The 23,133-nt window shown below is 52.3% G+C and overlaps 2 protein-coding genes and 1 pseudogene across 8 annotated transcripts in view, besides 2 other annotated features; 2 read left to right on the top strand and 1 right to left on the bottom strand.

Moving 5' to 3' along the window:
* Nucleotides 1–5,157, top strand: part of CHRDL2 (chordin like 2) — a 34,998-nt gene extending 29,841 nt beyond the window's left edge. For all 7 annotated transcript variants that reach the window (NM_001278473.3, NM_015424.6, NM_001304416.2 and 4 more), the window contains 2 exons: nucleotides 4,289–4,381; nucleotides 5,001–5,157. In NM_001278473.3, the coding sequence (NP_001265402.1) occupies nucleotides 4,289–4,381; nucleotides 5,001–5,077 (170 nt within the window). In that variant the 3' untranslated portion in view covers nucleotides 5,078–5,157. The remainder of the gene's footprint in view (nucleotides 1–4,288; nucleotides 4,382–5,000) is intronic.
* LOC124902713 (uncharacterized) lies at nucleotides 5–3,281 on the top strand. The gene is given in 2 exon segments (XM_047427990.1): nucleotides 5–2,916; nucleotides 2,918–3,281. Coding segments are annotated over 2 exon segments (480 nt in total). The 5' UTR covers nucleotides 5–2,761; the 3' UTR covers nucleotides 3,243–3,281.
* Nucleotides 1,426–1,926: an enhancer, noted in NCBI's record as "H3K27ac hESC enhancer chr11:74410705-74411205 (GRCh37/hg19 assembly coordinates)". NCBI's record gives its function as "activates a minimal SCP1, AML or CMV promoter by ChIP-STARR-seq in naive H9 embryonic stem cells {active_cell/tissue: H9 hESC(naive)}" and the evidence as "EXISTENCE:reporter gene assay evidence [ECO:0000049][PMID:30033119]".
* Nucleotides 3,763–4,962: an enhancer, noted in NCBI's record as "MED14-independent group 3 enhancer chr11:74407669-74408868 (GRCh37/hg19 assembly coordinates)". NCBI's record gives its function as "activates an origin of replication core promoter dependent on BRD2, BRD4, P300/CBP and CDK7 cofactors, and independent of MED14, by STARR-seq in HCT116 cells {active_cell/tissue: HCT116}" and the evidence as "EXISTENCE:reporter gene assay evidence [ECO:0000049][PMID:35650434]".
* Nucleotides 16,123–16,361, bottom strand: RN7SKP297 (RN7SK pseudogene 297; annotated as a pseudogene).

Below are 23,133 nucleotides of genomic sequence, written 5' to 3'. Positions count from 1 at the left end.
GGAGGACGGGAGCTAGAGCCCATGTCTTGTGGCGTCAGATGCGGCTCTTTCCCTGCTCTACTCTGCCCCCTGTCGTAGGAGGAATGGACGAAGAAAGTGGAGCTGTTCAGCCTGGAGAAGAGAAGACTCAGGGGGACAGGACTGCTGGCTTCGTGGCTCTGAAGGGCTGTCCCAGGCAGAGGGAGCAGCTGTGTTCTGAGTGACCGCAAGAGTCAAACAACAAGCAGGGGCTTTGGGTTCGAATCCTAACTCTGCCAGTTTGAATCCAGACTCTGCTATATCTTAGCTGTGTGGCCTTGGGCAGTCACATGATCTCTCTGGGCCTCAGTTTTCTCTTCTGTAGAGTGGGGAAGAGGGTTTTTAGAGGATTAAATGACATGACATCGGTGCAGCCCCTGACATACACGAGGCACTAAAAATATCAGTCTTCTCATTCCACCATATCAGGTTGGTGAGAAATGCAGAGAGGCAGCTTTCAGCTCCAAGAGAAGAAGAACTTTGTCACACTTAGAGGCTTCTGCCAGTGGAAGGGAGGGAGCAAGCTCCACTTACGAGAAGCGTGCAAGCAGGGGCTGGTGGGGATTCCGTCTGCAGCTGGGGAGTTAGATTCAGTAACCCTTAAAATTTTTTGAGCCTTAAGATTCCATCAGTCCCAGCTGGGCCTGGTGGCTCACACCTGTAATCCCAGCACTTTGGGAGGCCAAGGTGGGCGATCGCTTGAGCCCAGGAGTTTGAGACCAGCCTGGCCAACATGGTGAAACCCCATCTTTACTAAAAATACAAAAATTAGCCAGGCATAGTGGTGGGCGCCTGTAATCCCAGCTACTCAGGAGGCTGAGGAAGGAGAATCACTTGAGCCCAGGAGGTTGCAGTGAGCTAAGATCGTGCCACTGCACTCCAGCCTGGGTGACAGAGTGAGACTCCGTCTCAAAAAAAAAAAAATAATAATAATAATAATAATAAAAAAAAGATTCCATCAGTCCCTGGGCAGGTTTTGGCCACATGTTTACTCTGGGCCTCTCTCTCTCCGCTGCCCCCAACTAAGTGCCGGGACATGGAGCATAATAGGCCCCAGCCTCTGTCCTTAGGAGGCTTAGTGACCTGGGTGCAGTGGAGCTTATTGGGAGCTGAGCTGGTCAGGGAAGGCTTCGTGAAGGATGGGCCTCAATGATGTAAAGAGCCAATGAACAGATAGTGTCACTAAAAATTAAAATAAGTAAGTAAATAAATAAAGAGGCAAAAAGGGTACACTGCAGCCAGGATGACAGTGAGAGCCTCAAACGCTGGCTCCAGAGCTCACGCCCATATGCCCTGTGCTCTGTGATTGGTGTGTAGCAGGCACTATGTATAATGTATCTCATTTAATCCTCTTAAGAAACCTAAGGGGCACGTATTAATGCCCCCATTTTGCAGGTAAGAAAACTGAGTCTGAGAGGTCAAATGACTTACTCAAAGTCACACAGTTTAAGCAGTAAAGCAAAGATTCAAATCCAGCTCTGACTGTCCCCAGTGCCACCTCCACAGAGGTGACCTCGTGCTTTTAGGGAGGATGGCCAAGGTGTGCCAGGATGGCACAGTGGGGGCATAGCTCATGGCCAATCTCATTGTCACCAGGCCCAGCAGAAAAGGAAAAACAACTTCACAATGCCAGGCCCTGCCATCCTGTCACTAGCAAACCGCACCCCATCTCCTCACCCTGTGGGTTGCCTAAATGCCCCATCAGCCTCCCTGTTCCCTCCCTGTCCCAGACCGTGGGAGTTAAAACAAACACTACCCAGGGTTGATTGTCAGTGGGAACCACTCACTGTTTCCCCAGTCCAAGGAACGGAAACAAAGTGAGCAGGCAGATGCTAGGTGAGGCCACACCACGAGGGGCCAGCCCCAGACACAGGAATCTAACCAGATAGTTGGCTTAGGGTTAAGGGCCTTTTAGATTCTAAAGTTTCACAGTAGAAAGGATGTCGGGGTCTCAATTCCAAGCCCTGTCTAGGAAGGAAGCCCCCCTGCAGCCTCCTGATGGCTTGATGGTATCTGGCACCTGACTGTACATACCCCCACTCCTACTCCAGATAGGTGACACACTTCCAACACTGTGAATTGCTCAGCCCAAAGGGCATCTGACTTCACACTGAGCTGAGCCTATCCTGTGTCCCTGGACTTGCCCATTGGTGCCAGCTCTGCTTTGAGGATCCACAGAGCCTACCTGCCCTCAGACCTGCCACAGCCCTTCAAAGGGCAAGAGGCACAACCATGACCCTCAGGCTAGCTCTTGATTCCAGGCCAGAGACCCAGTCCTTTCAATTATGCTTTAATGCTTTACAGACCACAGTGTGGGAACCCGCCCTCATCCCTGCCACCTTCTCTCCAATTTTTCTGTAACTCGGGAGCATGCAGTGGCAGGCCTGTGCCGAAGGACCCATCCCCATCTCATCTCATGCTTGTTGCCTGCCGCTATGATATAATCCCTGGGCCTTTGGAGTTTCTTCCATATCCTGGTCCTTGGCATCTGGGCTGGGGGGGTCCATGGACAGTGCTGGACATTTCCTGATTCCTGGAACTCAGTCCCAGGATTAGGGTTTTCTGTTCCCCTTGGCGGTAATCCCACGCTGATTCCCATAAGCAGGGCCAGTTCTTGGTCTTCTTAAAGGCAGTGCTGGCCTAGCAGAGGCCTTGCTGGTTGCATCTGTTCTTTCTGGCCAGAGACCTTGGTGGGTAACAGCTGGTGCAGCCTCACAGCCCATGTGCTCAGGGCCTCAGAGCCATGTGTGGTGCCAGTGGCCAGCACCCCATGAGATGCAAACATCAGGGGATCCAGCTAATACCTCATTCCCCCTTGGGGCCTGGCCTAGACTGGGTATGTGGGGTGTGTGTGTGTGTGTGTGTGTGTGTGTGTGTGTGTGTGTGTGTGTATTTGTTCATCTATCTATCCATCCATCCATCCATCCATCCATCCAGGGATTCATTCATTCTACATGCCAAATGTGGGCCAGGCTCAAGGGACCCAGAGAGGAGAGCCCTCTGGGAGTCCCCAGTCTGGTAGAGGAAGCAGGAGTAGACACAATGAGAGCACATTAGAAACAGGCACAATCACAGATGGAAGCCAGGTGCTGTGGGTGCCCCAAGGAGGAATTGCCTCGGGTGGATTAGGGAAGACTTCCCAGCTAAGGCTTGGAGCACAGGTAGGAGTTCATTTGGTGCTAATAGTAGAAGTCGTGGCCAGGTGCAGTGGCTCACGCCTGTAATCCCAGCTTGTGCTTTGGGAGGCCAAGGCAGGTGGATCATTTGAGGTCAGGAGTTTAGCATGGCTTACATGCTAAAACCCAGTCTCTACTAAAAATACAAAAAAAAAAAAAAATTAGCCAGGTGTGGTGGCGGGCACCTGTAATCCAAGCTACTCAGGAGGCTGAGGCAGGAGAATCGCTTGAACCCGGGAGGCAGAAGTTGCAGTGAGCTGAGATCATACCATTGTACTTCAGCCTGGGCAACAAGAGTGAAACTCCGTCAAAAAAAAAAAAAAAGAAAAAAAAGTAGAAATAGAAGGCAATAGTAGAAGATATTCCAGCAGAGGGAACGGCATTTGAAAAGGCTTGGCCTCCTCAGGGGACGTCAAGTACTTGGTTAGGGCTAGGGCACAGGCAAGCCACTGTAACTCTGCCACTTGCTAGTTCTTTGGTATCTGAATAAACACACCTATTGATTTTTATCATATGTTCTATGCCCTGAGAAAAGCGTGACCAGTTCACATGAGCCAGCCAACCTTCCTTCCTCCCTTCCTGCCCTCCTTTCCTTTTTCCCTCCTTCTCTTTCCTTTCTTCCTCCTCTCCCTCCTGCCTTCCACTTCCCTCCCTCCCTGCACTGGGGACAGGTGGGTGTTGTGAGAGCAGGATGGTGCAGGTGACAGGAGCAGGATCAGCAAAGAGAACAGACAGAAGAAAACAGGCTTCACTGTGGAGGCGACAGGACGTCAGGGAAGGGGAATGACAGGGTGACGTATACATGTTCTAATGACCAGAGCTAGGATTGCAGATTAGAGGGGGAGTGAAAGGGGTTAGGACTCTAGTGTAGTGACCCAGACAAGACAACAGGGGCCTGAGTGAGGATAGTGGCAGAGAGATAGGAGAATGGATTCAAAATATTGAGGAAATGTCATCAGCAGGATTTTGTGTCTGATCAGAATGGGGTGGGGGAGGGAGTGATTGGGTCCGTTCTGTGCTAAGTCACCCTGTTTCACTTTTCACCGACTGTAGGTTTTTGCCTTGCCTGCTCACATCCTTGTCTCTGCCCTCAGGAATCTTCCACTTGACTCAGATCAAGAAAGTCAGGAAGCAAGACTTCCAGAAAGAGGCACAGCACTTCCGACTGCTCGCTGGCCCCCACGAAGGTAGGAGCTTGGGCTGAGGAATGGGGCCGGGGCAGGAAGAAGGCAAGGACACGGGCCAGAGCCTTTCGGGGAGTTCCCAGGCTGCTGGTGCCGGGAGGAGGGGCTGTCAGCCACAGACGTCAGTTCCCAGCACAGGAATCCAGCGGGTGTCTGCGCCAGAGATTTCCTAACTCCAGAGCGGGAAGGTGAAGCAGAGCTGGCTGGATTTGGTTCTGAGGGTGGAGGGAGAAAGGGCTGTGGAGAGGGGAGGTCTGAGCCCCCAAACCTGGGTACTGCCCACTCCCTCTCTACTGGAATGTTTCCACTTTCCTTCTATACCTTACTTTTAGGAAGATGGACCCAGGTGGGGTTTCAGGTCGGGGAGGGGAGGTCACAGAGGGGAGTATTACCAACAGGTGTCAGGAAACCAGTTCTGTCCCCCAAGGTTGTTTGAAAGCTGGGTCATGTGCCCCATCACACCCAGTGTGATGGCACACTCGCCTCCAGGCTCCCTGTGGGCTCCAAACCCTGGCCCTTGCAGTTCCTCCTGGCCCAAGGCTTTTCCAACCCCCAGCTGCTGCCTCTGTTGTGCACGTGCAGACACATACGCCTCTTCCCTCTTCTGCCCTCCTCCATGCAGGTCACTGGAACGTCTTCCTAGCCCAGACCCTGGAGCTGAAGGTCACGGCCAGTCCAGACAAAGTGACCAAGACATAACAAAGACCTAACAGTTGCAGATATGAGCTGTATAATTGTTGTTATTATATATTAATAAATAAGAAGTTGCATTACCCTCAGCCCTGCCTTCTGGGTTCATATCCAGTCTCCTGCATGCTCTCCTAGCAACTCCACAAGGCAGACCTGGTTATCCCCATTTTACAGGGGTGGAAACCAAGATCCAGAAGGGATAGAGAATGGTCCCAGTCCTCACAGTGAGTTGTCACCACAGCCAGGGCTAGCTCCCCCAGCCTCCTCACCCAGGCCCCCCACTGCAGCACCTCCTGCTTTTCCGGGCAGCCCCCCTCCCACAGCTCTTTGACACTGAGCCTCAGAAAGAGGAATGACTCTAATTAGCCAGGGGAGGGCGTTAATGGAGCCTTAAAGCACTTTCCCAGCAAGTATTCCTGGGATCCTCACCACTGTCTTCACACCCTACAATGAGGAAACCCAGTTAGGGAGGAGCAGCAGGCAGTCATTTGCCCAAAGCCGCAGAGCTGCTTAGTAGCAGATCTGGAGTTGGAAGCCAGATCTCTCGCTCCAGGCTAGCACTCCTTCCCCAGTTCCACAGTGTGGCCAGTGTCACGAGCCCAGATAGCCTCACCTCAGAGGATTTCCAAGACTGGGCGGTCAGATTGCTAACCTGGCACCATGCTCTGAGAAGGCCCAACAGTTAGCAATTAAAGACACCATTAGGGCCAGGCACGGTGGCTGACGCCTACAATCCCAGCACTTTGGGAGGCCGAGGGGGGTGGATCGTCTGAGGCCAGGAGTTCGAGACCAGCCTGGCCAACATAGTGAAACCCCATTTCTACTAAAAATACAAAAAATTAGCCAGGCATGGTGGTACACACCTGTAATTCCAGCTACTCGGGAAGTTGAGGCACGAGGATTGCTTGAACCCAGGAGGCAGAGGTTGCAGTGAGCCGAGATTGTGCCACTGCACTCCAGCCTGGGTGACAGAGTAAGACTCCATCTCAAATAATAATAATAATAATAATAATAAAATAAAGACACCATCAATTATTTACCCTGCCCACATGTACAAATCCTTATAATTTCAAAGATGTTTTAATGTCAATGATTTCACTTAAGGTGAAAGGTGTAGGCACTACCCACATTTTAGAGGAGGAGATGGGCTCAGGACCACCACATGTCTTCCCCAAAGCCTCACAGTGGTATGCTGAAGCCAGGGCTAGAACTCAGGCTCCCGGCCCCAGGCGGGGTTCTCTCCTCAGGACAGCTAGTCTCAATCCTCTCACAACCACGGCTCCTCCATCCCCTCCCCACCCAAGCCTGATCAAAGCTCCAGAGAAATGGTGGACAGTAGTCTGTTGACTGGACTTGTGCAGCCACTCAGAGGGCTCTGGCCATTGTCTCCACAGCCTTGGCCTTTTTTGTTTTTTTTTTTTAAGAGATGGGGTCTTGCTATATTGCCCAGGCTGGTCTAGAACTAATGGGCTCAAGCAATCCTCCTGCCTCAGCCTCCCAAAGTGGTGAGATTACAGGCATGAGCCACTAAGCCCAGCCTCCACAGCCCTAATCTTGAACCTAGGGTTACTAAGGTTTGGGAAGTCTGCTAAGGTTTGGGAAGTCTGATGCCACCCTTATTGAGCAGGGATGAGTGTCTCCCTCCCCTAACTCCTCTGCCAGCTCCCAGGGGTCTGGATTTGAAAGTTTGGGGTTTGAGGCTGGAATCTACCAACATCCCCTGAGTCAGAAGACATTCACCTTCTCCCCTCACAGCCTCTACCTGTCCCTCCTCAAGATGACTCACAATTTTGGCCTGGCTTGCTCACACAGAGGGTTCACTTGGAGCTCCAGGGATGGGTTCTGAGCTTGCCTCATTTAAAGTGCAGGAATCTGAAAGCTTAACCATTCACAGGATAAACTCTGGTCATCCTTCAGCCTATCTCAGATGTCTTCAGTGATACTTTCCCTGACACATCTGTGCCCTGTACCGTGGCTCCTTTCCTGGAAAATGGGGTTTGGAAACAGGGCTCTGTCATCAGAGGCAGTTCCAGGGTCTCCGGACAGGAGTGGACTTCGCTGTACACGTTTCCTGATGCTGCAGGCCAAATTGCCTTCCTGGTTTCTCTGATGGGCTTATGGGATGCCTCTGAGGTTCGCTTTTCCACCAGGGGGACACATTCAGCACACTGCCCTCTCCTGACTTTGGTCCAGACCTTTCTGTGTGTGTAAACATGGGCTCGCTATGTGAGTCTGCAGGCAGCTCTGCCATGTTGTCTTCTCTTTCATGGATTCATTCATAAAACAGCTTCGGCGCTGCTCTCGGGTGGGCTTTATGCTCGAGCACCAACACAGTGCAGGGAGCTAATTGCCCTTCCTGTGCTTTTAGAGCCTCAAGTCTGGAGGAGGAGATAGAGGAGGGAGCAGCATCCGAGCCCCTCAGTGTTGCCAGTGCTAAGGGCAGGGACCAAGGGGGCACAGCCCCAACCCAGACTGACGACACTCAAGCAGGCTCGGAAGGTGAGCAGGAGGTAGAAAAAAAAAGGGGGAGAGAGAGAGGAGGGTGGGTGACGGTACAGGAAGAGAAAACTTGGTAGACGGTGAAAAGTAGCAAGTTACGGCAGAACCACAAATAGCTCACTGTCACTGGATGATAATTTGAGGCAACGAGCAAAGGGAGGTGAGGCTGCACAGCTAGCTGAAGAGCTCTGACTGCATCCTGAAGGCTAGCAGGTAGCCCCAGGAGAGTTTCAATACTTTGGTCAGATTTGTGGTTGAGAACACTGGTTCTACCGGCCAGGTGAAGAATGGCCTGGCAGAGTGAGGCTGAGGCCAGGTAGGAGGTGGCTGTTATGGGATCCACGTGAGGATGACTCTGGCCTGGATAGGAGAGAGGTCATGGGCAAGGCACAACGGATGACTGGCTAGACTCAGGATTGAGGGAGAGCAAGGAGCAAGTGTGTACCTGGTGTCTCACTTGGTGATACCTTCTGGGAGAAGAAGCCAGAAGTTTCAGCTGAGCACACGCTGAGGCTCAGGAGGTATCCACAGCCCTCTGGGTTTAATAGGTCTGGAGAGAAAGCTGGGCTAGAGGCAGGGAGTTGGGAGCTGTTGACCTGTAGGTGGTAACTAAAGCTGGGAGAGGGGGTGACACTGGCCTGGGAGAGATGGTGGAGTAAACAGAGTGGGAGCAAGACGGACCCCAGAGCATCAGCAAAGGGTCAGCATGGCGGACAGGGAATAGGTCGGGGAGCAGGGTGCTGAGAGGGCCAGGGTGAGGCTGGCAAAGAGACCTTCGTGGAAACAAGGAGGCTCCAATGGCCACAGCAGGGAGCACAGTCAGGAGAGCTGAGAGGTGGGAGCTGAGTTTTAGGTGCTGAGACGGTTTCTGGGAAGTGAGGAAACAGACAAGCATTTTAAGAAAGCTGGCAGTAAAGAAGAAGAGAGGCAGGGCTGTGGCTGGCTGTGCACATGGGCTTGAAGAAGACAGCTTTTTGGCTGAGAGCAAGTCTCGGTGACGAGGCGATGCCCCAAGAGAGGGAAAATCAGGAGAAACAGGAGTGAGGATGGAGGAAGGCAAGATTTAGGGATGGGTTAAAATCCATTCTTCCTTGGCCTCTAAGCTGCTGCATAACCCTACTCATCTCCCCATGAGTGTGATGAGGGAGAGGGGAGTGGGGGGCTCCCAGGGCTGACCAGCCCTGCTCCCGCATGGGGCTCCCCAAGGCTCCAGCAGGGAGTCCCATGGGATCCACTGTCCCACTGGTGGCCAGGCTGGGCACCGCCAGAGCTCCCACTGAGGTAGTGATATCCTTCCTGGCCACTGGTTAACAAAGCACATTCAAATCCATTGTCTCATCTGATCCCTAGCACAGCCCAGTGAGGTGGGGCTTGTTAACCATATCAGACAAGGGAACTAAGGCTCCAGGGAGAGAAGGTCACTCACCAAGGTCACAATAACAAATGGACAGTTGGATTCCAACTGGGGTCTACGATTCTATATCCTAAAGTCTTAATTGTATTTTTTAAATTTTTTTGTGCAACTTTATGGGGTACACGAGAAATTTTGCTGCATGTGTATAATGTGCAGTGATCAAGTCAAGGCATTTAGGGTGTCCATCACCTGAATACATTTTTGTTAAGTACAATCACCTTACCGTGCTATCCATCACTGAACAGAATCCTTCTGTCTTACTGCATGTCTGTACCTTCAGCCCAGTGCTCTTCATCTTCCCGCTCCCCATACCCTTCCCAGTCTCTGTCATCTACCTTTCCACTCTCTACCTTTATGTGATAGGATTCTGTATCCTTATGGGTCCCAGAGCACAGGAAGGGGCCGGGTCCTGAGCAGGGGCAGGCATCACAGACCTGGGCTCAGAGTCCCCATTCCACTCAACCTTCCCAGGTAGCTTTCTGGCCCTGATATGTGATCATCCTTCACAATGCCAGGCCTGGCCTCCAGGTTTCCTGGGGATGTTTCCTCCTCCTCTGGCAGCTGTCACGTCACTCCCTTTGTCCCCCCACGAACACTGGGCTCTGGGAAATGGCAGTATTTCTGAGAAACAGGACGTGGCCTGTGGTTTAGGGCTAGCCTGGGGGTGAGGGATGGCCTGGGGCCCCACTGGACACAATGGCATCTCTCTCTAGGGCTGGCTCAGCCACCCTGCTTCCCCTCACCCTGGTCCCTGGAAGACACCCCCTGCCTGCCACCTCCTCCATCAGAGTCAGTTCATGGAAATGAGCAGGAACCGCTGTAGGAAGGTGGCTGAGGTTGGAAAGGGGGTGGGTTGGCATGGGTTTCTGTGTATAGGGCGTTTTCTCAGACTTTCTAGAATTAGAACCTGCATCTCTGGTACCCAGCTCAAGACTGATTTAATGACCACATGAAATTTGATTTCTCTCACCAATCCCACATTTATCTTCCTCCAGCACAGATCAGAGCTCACATACTTGCCCAAAGTCAAACAGCAACTGGGAGGTGGGGCTGTGATTGGTACTCATAGGGTCTCACTCCAAAGTTCGGGCCTCTCCTGCCCTGTGACAACTGGGCCAAGGGTGAGATCAGCCTTCTCACCAGCTCCCCTGCCATCAGCCTCTCCTCTCCCACCCCTCCCCATTCCCAGTAAGTCTTGCCTATCAGAATGATCTTTCAAAAACATAAATCTGACCATGCCTCTCCCTTATTAAGCCCCTCCCTAAATGACTTTCCTTTGTCCTCAAGATGACACCAAATCTCCCCCCGCTCACCCCTTCATGATCTGACTCCTGCTGCCTTTTCAGTCCAACCCTTGGGTTTATCTCCCAGCAATACCCAAGGGTCCTGCTGCACCATCTGACCAAGTTGGGATGGATCTGGGCTCCAGAAAGACCTGAATCATGGACTCTGACACCATCAGAACATTCCCTCTCCATTCTGAACTCTGTTGACCCTGAATAGTCACACCTTCTTTCCAACCAACTCTTTCAAGAAGAAGACAACACACTACACACTGTTGAACACTGTAAGAGCTCCCAACCAGATCAGGTACAAAGGACCTTCCCTTCCCATTCCAATAGAAATACTTTGGGGAGGAATTCTGACTGGTCCATATTGGGTGACATACAGCCAGTCTTGGGTGGTCAGGGATGAGGTACTAGCATCACATGATTGGAGTAGGGGAAGAGCAGCACCCCAAAATAAAGGAGTGGGTGGCAAACACAGGGAGTGGTCACCAAAGGGATCCCCGTTCCCAGGCCGCCACTGCTACAACTTTCTTGAAACTGTGTCCTCTCTTCCATGCCTTTTACAAGTTGTTTCCTCTTTCTGGAATGCCTTTCCCCGTTTTATGCCTGTACTACTCCATTTTATCTTTCAAGATCTCCTAGAAAAGCCCTCCCTAGTCCTTGGCTGCCCCAGCATTGTCTGCTCCTCAGTAGTGGAACTCATACGTTTGTACTGCAGTGGTCCGTTTCTCCCACGGGACAGTTAGTGTCTGGAACCAGAGACCACATGTTATCATCTCTGCACTTCCAGCCCCTAGCGTGGTTCCTAGCCCACAAGAGGCATTCGATATATGCTAATTGAAGGAAGGAAGAATGACAATGATGGTAAAGGCGACAGTGGTAAGATGTGGTTGACTGCTGACATATAGTAGGTACTCAATAAATGGTTGTTCAACCCTTGAATGATCACCACTACCACTGTCACTGCCATTACCACCACCACCACCACCGTTACTGCCACCTCTACCACCAGGACCACCCCTCACACTTGCAGGGCCCAGGCAAGAATGCACGTGAAGAATACCTATCACATGCTAAATATTTAAAAGTTATAAATCCAACTAACTAAACTGTTACATGAATATGTTTTGTGTTCCTGCCTTGACAAATGTAACTTCTTAATGGCCTGGAAGGCCAAATTCAAATTTAAAATGTTCTGACTTCTCTGAATTCTTGACCAGAATATGTAAACCCAGGGAAAGCCAACCCTTGACCCCTGGCTTCCAGCTGTTGGCCCACCTCTCTCCTCATTTCACCTCCGTCCTCTACTGTGAGGGGTCCCGTACACACACGTATGGACACCCCAATCTGCATGTCTATGGTGGTTTTAAAACATGTCCACAAATGCTTTTATACTCCTCCCATTGAGAGGTAGCCCATGTGTGGCCCATGTCCCCACCCCTTAAATCTGAGTAGGCTGTGACTCATTTGTACCAACAGAATGAAACAGAAATTATAAGGGCTGATTTCCAAGGCTAGGTCAGAAATGGCAATGCAGCTACTGCTTTGCTTACAGAGATAATTGCTTTTGGACCCCTGAGCCACTTGTACAAAGTCCAACCACTATGAGGCCACCATGCTGTGAGGAAGCCAAGACGACATAGGTGACACACGTATATGCTCCACTCAACAGCCCCAGCTGAGCTCTGGGCCAACTATCAGAAACAATAAGCAGATATGAACATAAAGACCCCTCCAGAGGAATCCAGCACCCAGCTTGGAGTCTCCCCAGCTGAGACCCCAGACATTGTGGAACAGAGACAAACCATTCCCACCATGCCATCCCCAAGTTGCTGACCCACAGAATTCATGAGGATTAGAAAACAGTTGTTGCTGGGCGTGGTGGCTCACACCTGTAAACCCAGCACTTTGGGAAGCTGAGGCGGGAGGATCATTTGAGTCCAGGAGTTTAAGACTAGCCTGGGCAACATAGCGAGACCCTGTCTCTACAAAAAATAACAAGTTACCTGGTCATGGTGGCACACGTCTGTAGTCCCAGCTATTCAGGAAGCTGAGGTAGGAGGATTGCTTGAACCTGGGAGGTCAAGGCTGCAGTGAGCTATGATCATGCCAGTGCACCCTAGCCTGGACAACAGAACAAGATCCTGTCTCAAAAAAGAAAAGGAAAGAAAAAAAAAAAGTTGTTTAAGTTGCCAAATTCTGGGGTAATTCATTATGCAGCAAAAGCAAATGGAACTTTTCCAAATTTCTTCCAGAGCCCCAGCAAACTATCCCTCAGGTGTAGAGAACAGACCTAGGGAAGAGGACTGTGCAGTCCAAGAAGCAGACTCAGGGCTGCTTGGGCAGAGAATTCCAGGATCCTAGGTCCCCACTGTGGTCTAGAGAGGAGGTGGGGTGCACATACCCTCAATCCCATGGACCCCTTGGGCTGTGGGTAGGAGTGCAGCTGAAAGTGGGTCAGACTGGGGCCCTCCAGAGGGCATGGCCCAGGGTGGGGGTCCCTCTTTCCTGGGCTTAAAGGTGGTCCTGCCCTCCTTTACCACCATGGCTCCCTGCTACTACCAGCACAGGGGATGTAATTGTCCTCTGTGTCCAACTGCATCCTCAAAAGTCTCCAGTCTAGAGAGGGAGAGACATAAACAATGACAACAGAGTGACAAACACAGAAGAAGGCACAGGGGTGGCTGTGAGAACCCATGGCCAGGGAGCGGGGAGAGGGGTGTCAGAGGAAGCTTCCTGGATGAGGAGACATCCAAATAGAGACGTTAAGCAATTATTCAGGGAAAGTGGAGAAATCGTGTTTCAGTCCTAGGAAACAGGGAGGTCAGAGGCCTCACAACAGGCAAAAGTGGTGACAGGCAAGGATACAAATGGAGACTCCATGTCATATCACATATGATCTATTACATATTATGATATGTAGTCTCCATTTGCACTCTTGCCTGGGTCCTGCAAATCGGAGGGGTGGTACTGGTGGTGGTGGAGGCAGTAATGGTGGTGGTGGCAGTGGTAATGGGAGTAACAATGGTAGCAGTGATCATTCCAGAGCTCAACAACCATTGATTGAGCACCTACTGTATGTTAAACATCTGGGAAGCAGCAAAAAGTTCAGCCTGGCAAGAGAGTAGTATCGGGCAGTGGATGTAGGTGGTGCAGGAAGTGGGGGTGAGGGGCACGGGCTTTAGAGAGAAGCCTGGAGAGGCAGCAGAGGTCAATTTCCCCAGGGCCACCAGAACAGGGCTGATATTCAGGAAGGATGGGCTGGCAGGGCTGTCAACACTGGGGCCTATCCTGATTGCCCAGGGCCTATTCCAAATCAGTAGTTATTCTGAATATCTCCCCTATTTTTGAGCCTGGAACGATTTCCAGCAGGGGAGTGACTCAGACAGATTTGTGTTTTACAAAGATCCCTGAGGCTTCTGTGGGAGAAAGACTTGGAAGGAGTCAAGAATGGAAGCAGGGCAATCAGTTAGTATTAATAAGTTATTGCAGCTACCAGTGACAGAGATGGTGGCAGTCTGGATGAGGGTGTGGCAACAGAGAGGGAGAGAAGTGGGTGGGATTGCCAGCTATTTAGAGGGCAGAATCAACAGAAGCCACGGTGAGTCACACACAGCCCCTCACAGTGCAAAGGGGAAGAAAAAGCATGGATTTCAATAGCAATTAAAATTAGCATTGTTGTGTTTCGCAGGATATAAAGCCCTTTCACACGCACTGATGACATGAACCAGGGCTGGTGGAGTGAGCAGGGAAGATTTTCCTTCTGTAGGGGAGGGTCATGTGAGGCGAAAGGTTTTTTTGCTGCAGCCCTCCCTTTTCTTCCAGACTCAAATGCTATCAGTTAAGGACATGAGCCCTGGTGCTGCAGCAGCCATCTTGTGGCCATGAGGCTGAGAATGATAAAAGCCAGGATGCTGAGGAAGGCTGTCCTGAGCTGAGTCCTCAATGACCTTGATGACCTACACTGAAGCAGTCTGGAGACCACATACCTCCACATTTCTTGTTAAGAAAATAACAGATGTCCTTGCAGTTTATGCCACTGTAGCGGCACTGCCATTGACCCAATCACAATGCCTGTTATCCCTTTACCATTGTCATACATACCAGCTCCAGTGAGCTTTCATTCCCAACAGCCAGCACCTGCTTCTCTTTGTCAGAACACTGACCTTAGGCTGCCTGAGCCCACTTTGCCAGTGAGCATGGAAAACCAGAAGAGCCTGACAATGTCCACCTCCGCTCCACCCCAGGTGGCCCTTAGCTCAGACAGATGAGTATGGAGGTGCCAATCCTCCAGCTCCCTTGTGCTGATGTGGATGACTCTGAGGAGTGATTGCACGATCTCCGGAGCTCCTCTGCAAGTCTGAGTCAAGCTCCCCTCTGCGGGACTTGGCCTGAATCACACCCTTGCCTTGCCTTCTTCCCTTCCCACTTCTCCACACCCCTACTACTGGTTTGTCTTGGAAACACTTCCTAAGACATCACTTTCAACTCATCTTCTCATCTCAACTTCTGTTTCTAAGAATCCCAACCTAAGACAGCCACTGTTAGTCAGGTGTTCTGTACTTGCAGCCTAATGCATTCTAACAGACACAGGCCCAGCAAGGTAAAGGTCTAATAGCAATTTTGCTATGTTTCAGATGTAGGTTTCCTGCCTGCAAAACCTATCATTTGTTCAAACGTGCTAATAAGCTGATGATTAAAAACATAACTTTGTAAAGTGCTACATCCTAAACATAATAGCATTGGCAGCTAATTACTACCAATTACTGAGCATCTCCCATGAGCCAGGCACTAGGCCAAGGCTTTGATTACCTCCGTGACCCCATTTAATCTTCATTAGAACCCTATAAGGTGGACACTGTATTAATTTTGTATGCTGAGTAACAAATTACCACAAATTTAGCATATTTATTGTCTCACAGCTTCTGTAGGTCAGAAGCCTGGGAACAGACAGTTCTCTGCTTCAGGGTCTCACCAGCCTACAATCCAGGCATCAGTTAGAGCTGCAGTCTCATCAGAAGCTTGACTGGGGAAAGATCCACTCCCAAGTTCCCTTAAGCTGGAAAAATTCACCTCCTTGCAGTTGCAGGATTGAAGCCCTGGTATTCTTGCTGGCTGTCAGCCAGGGTCCACTTTCAGTTCCTAGAGGTGACCCACAGTCTTGCCACGTGGCCTTCTCCTAGGCCTTCTTGTAGCACAACAGCTTACTTCTTCAAAATCAGAACTCAGAGTCTCTGACTCCAGGGAGGGTACAGTTCCTCTTTTAAGGAATTTTCCCTGACTAAATCAGGCCCACTCAGCATAATCTCCCTTTTGAGTAACTCAGAATGTAATAATTTGGAACCCTAATTACATCTGCAAAATCTCTTCACCTTTGCCGTGTTCCAGCGGTCAGAAGCAAATCACAGGTCTTGTTCACACTCAAAAACTGGGGATAATACAGGGTGTGAACATTATGGGTGCCATACTAGGGTCTGTCTGCCACACTATTATTATCCAAATTGTACAGTTGAGGAAACTGAGGCAAAGAAGAGTTTAGTAATGCTACCCAAGATCATACTGCCAGTGAGTGAACGCGGAGTGTGGTTTCAAACCCATGCACTGTAGTTCAGAGCCTGCACTCCTTTTTTTTTTTTTCACCCATTTCCCCTTTCAAGAAGGAGCCTGCACTCTTATCTGTTACTCTGCACTGCCCAGACACTGCTCCAAATACTTTCCCTTCCTTATGTCCCCAAATTTCCTTGAAAATACAAGGAGGAAATGGAAGCTCAGAGAGGTTAAGGAACTTTTTCAAGGTCACACAGTACTGGAGTCAGGGCCACAAACTAGATTTATAAATCTCCAAGACCCAAGATCTTTAGAGCTTGTTTGGAGGTTCTAGTAGGGGAGCATAGCTCCTCATATACCCTTGACAGAGGGATGGTCCTCCTGTATCAGGAAGGTCATCCTCTTTGACCAAGCATGCAGCTTCAGGAGGGATGCACTGGAGTGGTGAGGGAGGAAGGGGACACCCGCCTAGCCAGCCAGACCGGCCAAATCAACCCTGTGATCATTGAGGTGACAGATGTCACAGCCAGATTGTCTTCACATCAAAAACCCAAGATCTTAACCAGTGTAGAAGGCAGTCAGTGCTTTAGCAGAGGACTAGAGAGTACGGAAGGAGTTCACAGGAGACAAAGAGCACCCCTACTGGGGCAGGGTGGGGCACAGTCATAGAGAAATAACAACATATAGCTATTTGAAAATGGGGGAGAGGGAGGGGAGAAAGTATATTTCCAAGGAGGGGACAGGTTAAGCAAAGTCAAAGCTGCAGGAAAGCACAGGTGTTTGGGATTGAACAGGGGTGGAGGGTAGTTTTGGGGGCACTGAGAAAGGAGACTGGAGATGTAGCCAGGTCCCAATTTGGAACACGAGGCTGAGGGGTCAGAGCTTTATTCTGAAGACAGTGGGGAGCCACACTCCAGTGACCCCACTCCTCTGCCCACAGGGAGCTCTCAAAGGGTGCTGAGCAGCAGCAGTCATGCACAAAAATGCCTTTAAGAGGGTGAATGCAGTGTGTGGAAGACAGGACTGTTTAGGGGTCTTCCTGCCTCTGATGGCATTTCCCACTCAAGGGCACCTGTGATTTTCCCATATCCCTAGGAGGAAGGGTTGATGTGAGGTCATGACCATTTTATGAGTGAGGAAACTGAGGCCCATTGGGAGACATGCGGGCCTGTGAGGGTAACAAGGCCCAGTGATGGGAACAAATGTCTCACTTCAGTCCTGGTGCTGGGAGTATGGGGACCAGCGATTATACTTTTCCTAGTTTATGGCTCATTCATCCTCATTCATGTAACAGAATCAGCATGAGGCTGTGGATTCCAAGGCCCCAAGCCCAAGGGTTCCGATTCAGCAGATGTGAGGTGGGGCCATCAACTGGCCTTTTTAAACAAGCACCCTGGTGACTCAGGGCCAGAGTATCCTTCAAGAAACCCTCAAGGGTGTAAGGATCCCAACCTCAGTGGGAGAACGCTGCCCATGATGCAGCCTTACCTGTGAGGGCCTCCTCCTGCCCCTTCCTCTGGGGGTGCCTCAGCCCAACTCAGGCCTCATCAAGTCACTGCCTCCAGCCTCAGCCCTTCAACCCCTCCTTTACACAGCAGCCCAAGTGAACTTTCCAAAAAGCAAAGCTGGCTTTCTCACGGCCCAGCTCAAACCCCTCCCGTGGCTCCCCGTCACACAGGTGGAAGTCGGCCTCCCCTGCCCGGGTTCCCGGGTCCAGCTCCAGAGAAGGCAACGCACCTGAGTTTTACTCCCCCGTTGCCTCTGCCTGGGCTGCCTTTTCCTGTGTACCGGGGGACCCCTCCTCAACCTCACCTAAGACGCAGCCCCCTGCCCCCAGAAAGGCTTTCTGTCCCTTGCCCCAGGACTAGAATACCTGCTGACCTTTTGTTTCTTATGTAAACCTCCCAGCAATACTCTAAGGGCTGGCTCCGGCTAGCGCTATTAATAATGGGGAAACGGAGGCTCAGAGCGTCAGTAACTTGCCCCAGGTTCCTCTGCTGTAAAAGGCGAGATTCGAACTCCAAACAGCTGCCCCTGGAGGGCTCCACTTCCCGCGGTTGCCAGCAGGGGTGCGCGGAGCCGCGGGGATCCGAGAGGCGGGGGCCGCGGTGGGGGCCGCGGTGGGGGCGCTGGAAGAACGGGGGCTTTGATTCCCATCTCCCGGCGCAGACCCAGACGCTAATTAAAATCGCCTGGGCCGCGGGGGCGGCGGGACGGGCACAAAGCCGGCTTTGACCGGGCGGCGGCGGCGCTGGCGGGCGCGGGGCCGCGTCGCACAGGGGCTGCTTGTGGCCGTGTTTGTTTTCGCTTGTAAAGCGCGGCCGCGAGCAGTGCCCGGGCGGCGTGGGGGTGCCCAGCCCGGGGAGGGCCCCTGAGGCCACGGCGCCCGCCCGGCCGCGCTCGCTACCCAGGGCCACCCTGGGCAAAGCCCTGCCCACTAGGGCCTCAGCTTCCCTTTCTCTCACAGGATGATAGCGGTGTCACTAGGAATGAACGCTTATTGGGCGCTTACTGTATTCCAGGGCCTGGACCGAGGCTTCTCCCACTTGGTTTTATGTCATCCTCCCGGCTCTATTAATATCCCCATTTTACAGATGAGGCCCAGGGAGGTTGAACACCTTGCCCAAGGTCTCACGGGTTTAAAGGAAAGAGCAAGGCCTAAAGTCCAGCAGAGGGAGAGCAGGGTTCGGGGCAGCTGGGTCACAGGAGGTGGGTGTATCGGGGAGAATGTTCCTGCTCAGAGCCCGCTCACTGCCTATCAAGCTGCGCTTTGAGAGTGAACTCCCATCGCCGGGGTACTGAAGCGGAGCCTTAGACTGAACCAGTGGGGGCCCTCTGAGCTTCCTTCCAGCTTGGGCCATTAGGGTCCCTCAGTGTGCGGGAGTGGCACTGCCCTGAAAGGAAAGCCTTTTCTGGGCTGCACTGGGCATTGGGGGTGGGGTCCGAGTATTGCCAGTGCTGGCAGAGGAGTAGGTCTCTGTGGATGGGTGGGAACCAAGAAAAGATAGGAGCTTCTTCCTTGGGAGCCCCCATGTTTGGAAGAATCTCCTGGCTTCTATAGTCATTGAATCACCAAATCTTAGTGGCCTTTGCACTTGCACCCACCCTGTGGTTCTGTCTTTCACTCACTTTTCACTGAGATTCCCACTCATCCTTCAGTTCTCAGCTCAGAGCAAGTTATACCCTCCCAGCACCCATCACTTCTTCATACCCATCACAGTGGTAATGGTGCACTCAAGGCATTGGCCCTTTCTGTCTGACTCAGAGCCCTGAGGACGAGACTGTATCAGCTTGCCCCCCTCTCAGCTACCAGGTCCCTCCCTTCATAAACAGGCCCAGGAAGGTGCACTGGGGAGTATTTCCTCTGGTGCCTCCAGATCAGAGCTCAGTCAAGGCCTGGCTGGAGGTCTTGGGATGAGAGTGGGCATGGTCAGAGAAATACAGAAGCCCGATGGGGGCCCAGGCTCACTGCCTAAGGAGGTGACTGATAAGGCGGCTGACAGTGTCCATCCAGTGACATGGCACCGATGGAGTGTCCTGTGGCTGGGGGTCCTGCCTCCCTTCTGAGACTGGTTCTCTGGTAGCCTCAGCTCTGTGCCTCTCTTCCTCCCTCGAGCTAGCCCCCCAGCCCCTATTTGCCCTGTGTCTGCAGATGGCTGGCTGGGAGGGCTTCGACCTGGATAGGAGTCCCCCACTGATCCCAGCCACCTGTGAGGAGGAGAACAAGGCGGGAGGGAGGATTTCTCTAAGGCTCTCCCCCTCCCTAAGACCTGGGAGCCAGAGCTTGGACAGAGACACTATTAACACAAACTCTGCAAACATGGCTTCTAAAAATAGCTCTGGCTGGCAAGGCCCACCTGGCACAGACTGCACCTTTGCGGCTGCTGGCCTGCTCCCCTTGGAGCATGGGCCATCAGTCTGTCAGCAGACATGTCACTCTGCCCTCTTCCCCCAGGGGACGGGGCAGCCACAGCCTTAGGTGGGATCCAGGGGAGAGACCCTCGTGAAGATGGGGCTTGTCCCAAACTGATGAGGGGGAGAGGGAGGATGTGCGATGTCAGGAGGAAGACAGTCTTGGCGATAAGGTGGATTGAGGAGACAGCACTGCCCACAGGGAACTCTCAAAATGGGTTGGGGGAAGGACACAAATGTATGAAAGAAGACCAAAGCAGCATTTAAACTCCTGCAAATGAAAGTGCCAAGACGAAGAAGGAAAGCCTGCGGGGAGGAGGGCAGGGCCAGGAGCGTGGTTCCATGATCATTATAGACCCAGATGGGGGTGGGCATATGGTCACCCCCACAGCAAATCCTCAGGACCTCAGAGCCAGGAAGGAACCCAAAAGCTCACCTTGTCCAACCCTTTTATTGGACACATGAGAAAACTAAGGCCCAAGTTGTTGAGCCTTGCCCCAGGTCCCTCCACACGGGTCTGCTGGCCTCATGCCATTTCCACCAGGCCTCTGGGCCTCCCTGTCTGCGGGCTGATGGAATGACCATAATTAATGTTTCTCAGAATGCTCCTTTTTCATTGTCAGTTTATTGAGAAAAGCTTTACTGAGCACCTACTGTGTGCCACACACTGGGTTCACAAAGCTGAACTGGACAGGCAGGCCCCTGCTTTCCAGGCTAATGGCAACACCCACTTGTGTGCACAGAGCTCTCCTGTGCATTCACATAAATTCACAGAATGGAACACAGTTTCCCAGCTTACAGCTGAGGAACCCGAGGCTCACGGAACTTTGTCATCAGCAAAGTTGGGGCCGGAGCCTCCCCATGTTGCCTCAGGAGGCCCCGGGTTGCCTCCGAGTCAGTGGGGACAGGCCTGTAGGAGGCTAGTCATGTGCTCCTGGAATGTCTCCTGTCCCGGATGCCACCATGGAGGAGAGCTGAGAGGGCGCTGGAGGCCCTGGGACCGGAAACGCGCAATTCCGCTGCAGTGCCTTGCTTTTGGTTGGGTTCGGTGGCGTACCCGGACACATTACATAGGTAGACCCTGCCCTCGCAGAGCTCATGGGGAAGCCCTGCTGCTCCCTATTGGGTAGCTTCTAGTAGTCCTCCCTAGCCCTCCTCATGAATTCATCAGACCACACACAAATGCCCACTCCTGGAGTGGGAAAATAAAGCAAGAGCGGTCGTCTTCCTCCCCGCCCTCACACAGGCTCCATCAGGGTCTCTGGAGGGGAGGGGCATAGTGGTCAGTAGATGTGAAGCCACCTGACCTCCCTCAAGGGCACCTGTCCGTGCTGGTCCCTCACAACAACCCCTGGGAAGTGCCCATCTGAGTTCTTTCTGTAGACACCCCAGGCTCACCCTCGGTGAGGACCTGTGTTCCTTTCTCCTCTTTTTCTGGCATCACGGTGAATTCTTCTCTGCAGTGGGTTCATTCAAGGTGGAGCCTGCACATCCACTCCAACTATTCCCCCATGCCCCCAGGGGCACATCCCCGCATCTACACCTCCCTGCTTGCTGCCCAGAACTTTCCAGAACACCATGATGCAATGCTTGCCTAAGTCTCCACATCCATCACACACCTTGTGGGCTGACAGGGCCCTGACCCTGGGCCCAGGGAGTAGCCAGCTGTTCCACTCTGCTCACAGACTCTGGAGATCCATCTGCCACAGAGAGCTCTCCATGCCTTAGAAGGCCCCCTCCGTGCACAGCCCCATCGGATGAAAATGGCCACTCTGAACATATGATTGTCATTTTGAGATGACCCTTCCACCCTAGCCACACCTGAGCAAAGGCCACATCTCTGGGCTGGACCTAAGAGAGGCGTGTGCTCTGTGAGGCAGCCCGGCTCTGGAACACTGAGGGTAAGTAGAGTCAAAACCTAACCTGAGGGCACAAACCATGTTGGCAGTCATGCCTTCCCTAATATTTTGTTCTCATGAAACGGCTCCCCATTCCCTTTCACGGAAGCAGTGTGGGCAGGTCTTTGCCCAGCGCAGGCCACTGACCAGCCAGAGGTGGGGAGAGTCCCAGCTCACAGGCCCCCAGAGCCTGAGGAGGCCCCTGGGAAGAGTCTGCCAGTGAGGTGATGAACTCACTGTGCTCCCTCCAGGGATCTGGCCTGGGGCCGGCTCAGAGCACTGGGCCAATGGGAGTGGAGGGGACAAAGCACACAGAGGGCTGCCTTGGTGTCTGAGCCTTCCCCAGTTCCAGGCCACACAGGTCCCCCAGAACTACTCCCAAGGTGCCCTGAGAGAGTCTGTGCCCCTTGCATCCAAAATACTGGTCTAGCAAACAGATCCTTTCTCTTTGGGGTTTAAGTGGGAGACCCAACAAGTGTGAAGGAAAGAGCAGCAGACCTGGCGTGAGGCTGGGGAAGGAGCTAGGGCTGCTGCTACTTTGGAGGGCACTGAGGAGCCACCAGGCCAGCAGGGCTGCAGTGTAGACACTGCCATCAAAAGGCCATGCCACCGGAGAAGTCCTTCTGTGCTCCCTCACTGTCCCCACAGTACCTCAGGGGCTCTCTTTTCCTTGTAGCAGGAACAACCTAAACATGCCACTGGACTCCTGCAAAAACCCTTGGGCTGGAAGGGAGAAGCCCCAGCCATGGCATTAACTGCAGGGTGACCTAAATAAGTCACTCAGTCTCTCCCAAGCTCAATTTTCCCATCTGGAAATTGGGGAGACCAATCCCAGTTTCTCCGTATCCTCCCACAAGACATGGTGTTGGCAGGAGGCGGGGGCTGTGAGAATACAATGAGATCACAAATTGGAAAACACACGGAGACTCGGCCTCCAGTTACAAGTGATTCGTCATTTATGACCTTATCTGCACGAAAACACCAAATGGCAAATCCTTGCCTCTGTCCTCCCTCAGGTTAAAAAGATTCTTCTGTCATGCGGTCAATGGATACAGGAGAGTCTCCCTTGGGTGCTTGACTCCATTTGGGGGTGGAGAGGGGGTTCAAGAGAACAAGGCCCCGGCACAACCCTCCCAGGGCTCACAGTCTGTCTGAGATGATGAGATTCACACACACATAATCACTGCCATATTTTGGTGCACTGACTCGATGGCAGCCCTGAGCAATGTGTTTTATACATAATGCCAGCATCAGTAGATCAACCCCATTGCTCGGTGTTGCTGTCCTCTGCCCTCACTTTATCATGAGGAAACAGAGCTCAGGGAGGTGGCTGAGAGGCTTGTCCAACGTCACAGTTGGGGAAGGTGGGCTAGAACCCAGGACAAGCTGAGTCTGAGGCCTTTGGTCTTCCCAGCACCCCTGGCTGCCTGTGAGGCTGTTGAAAGAGGGTTGTTGGTGGGTGCTGCCTCATAGTCAGTCCCTGACTGGCCCTGTGCTGGGCATGGG

The sequence above is a fragment of the Homo sapiens genome, chromosome 11 (genome assembly GCF_000001405.40).
Source record: "Homo sapiens chromosome 11, GRCh38.p14 Primary Assembly".
Lineage (NCBI taxonomy): Eukaryota > Metazoa > Chordata > Mammalia > Primates > Hominidae > Homo > Homo sapiens.
The sequence above is the reverse complement of the archived record's forward strand: the minus strand, read 5'-3'. Positions and strand labels throughout refer to the sequence as shown.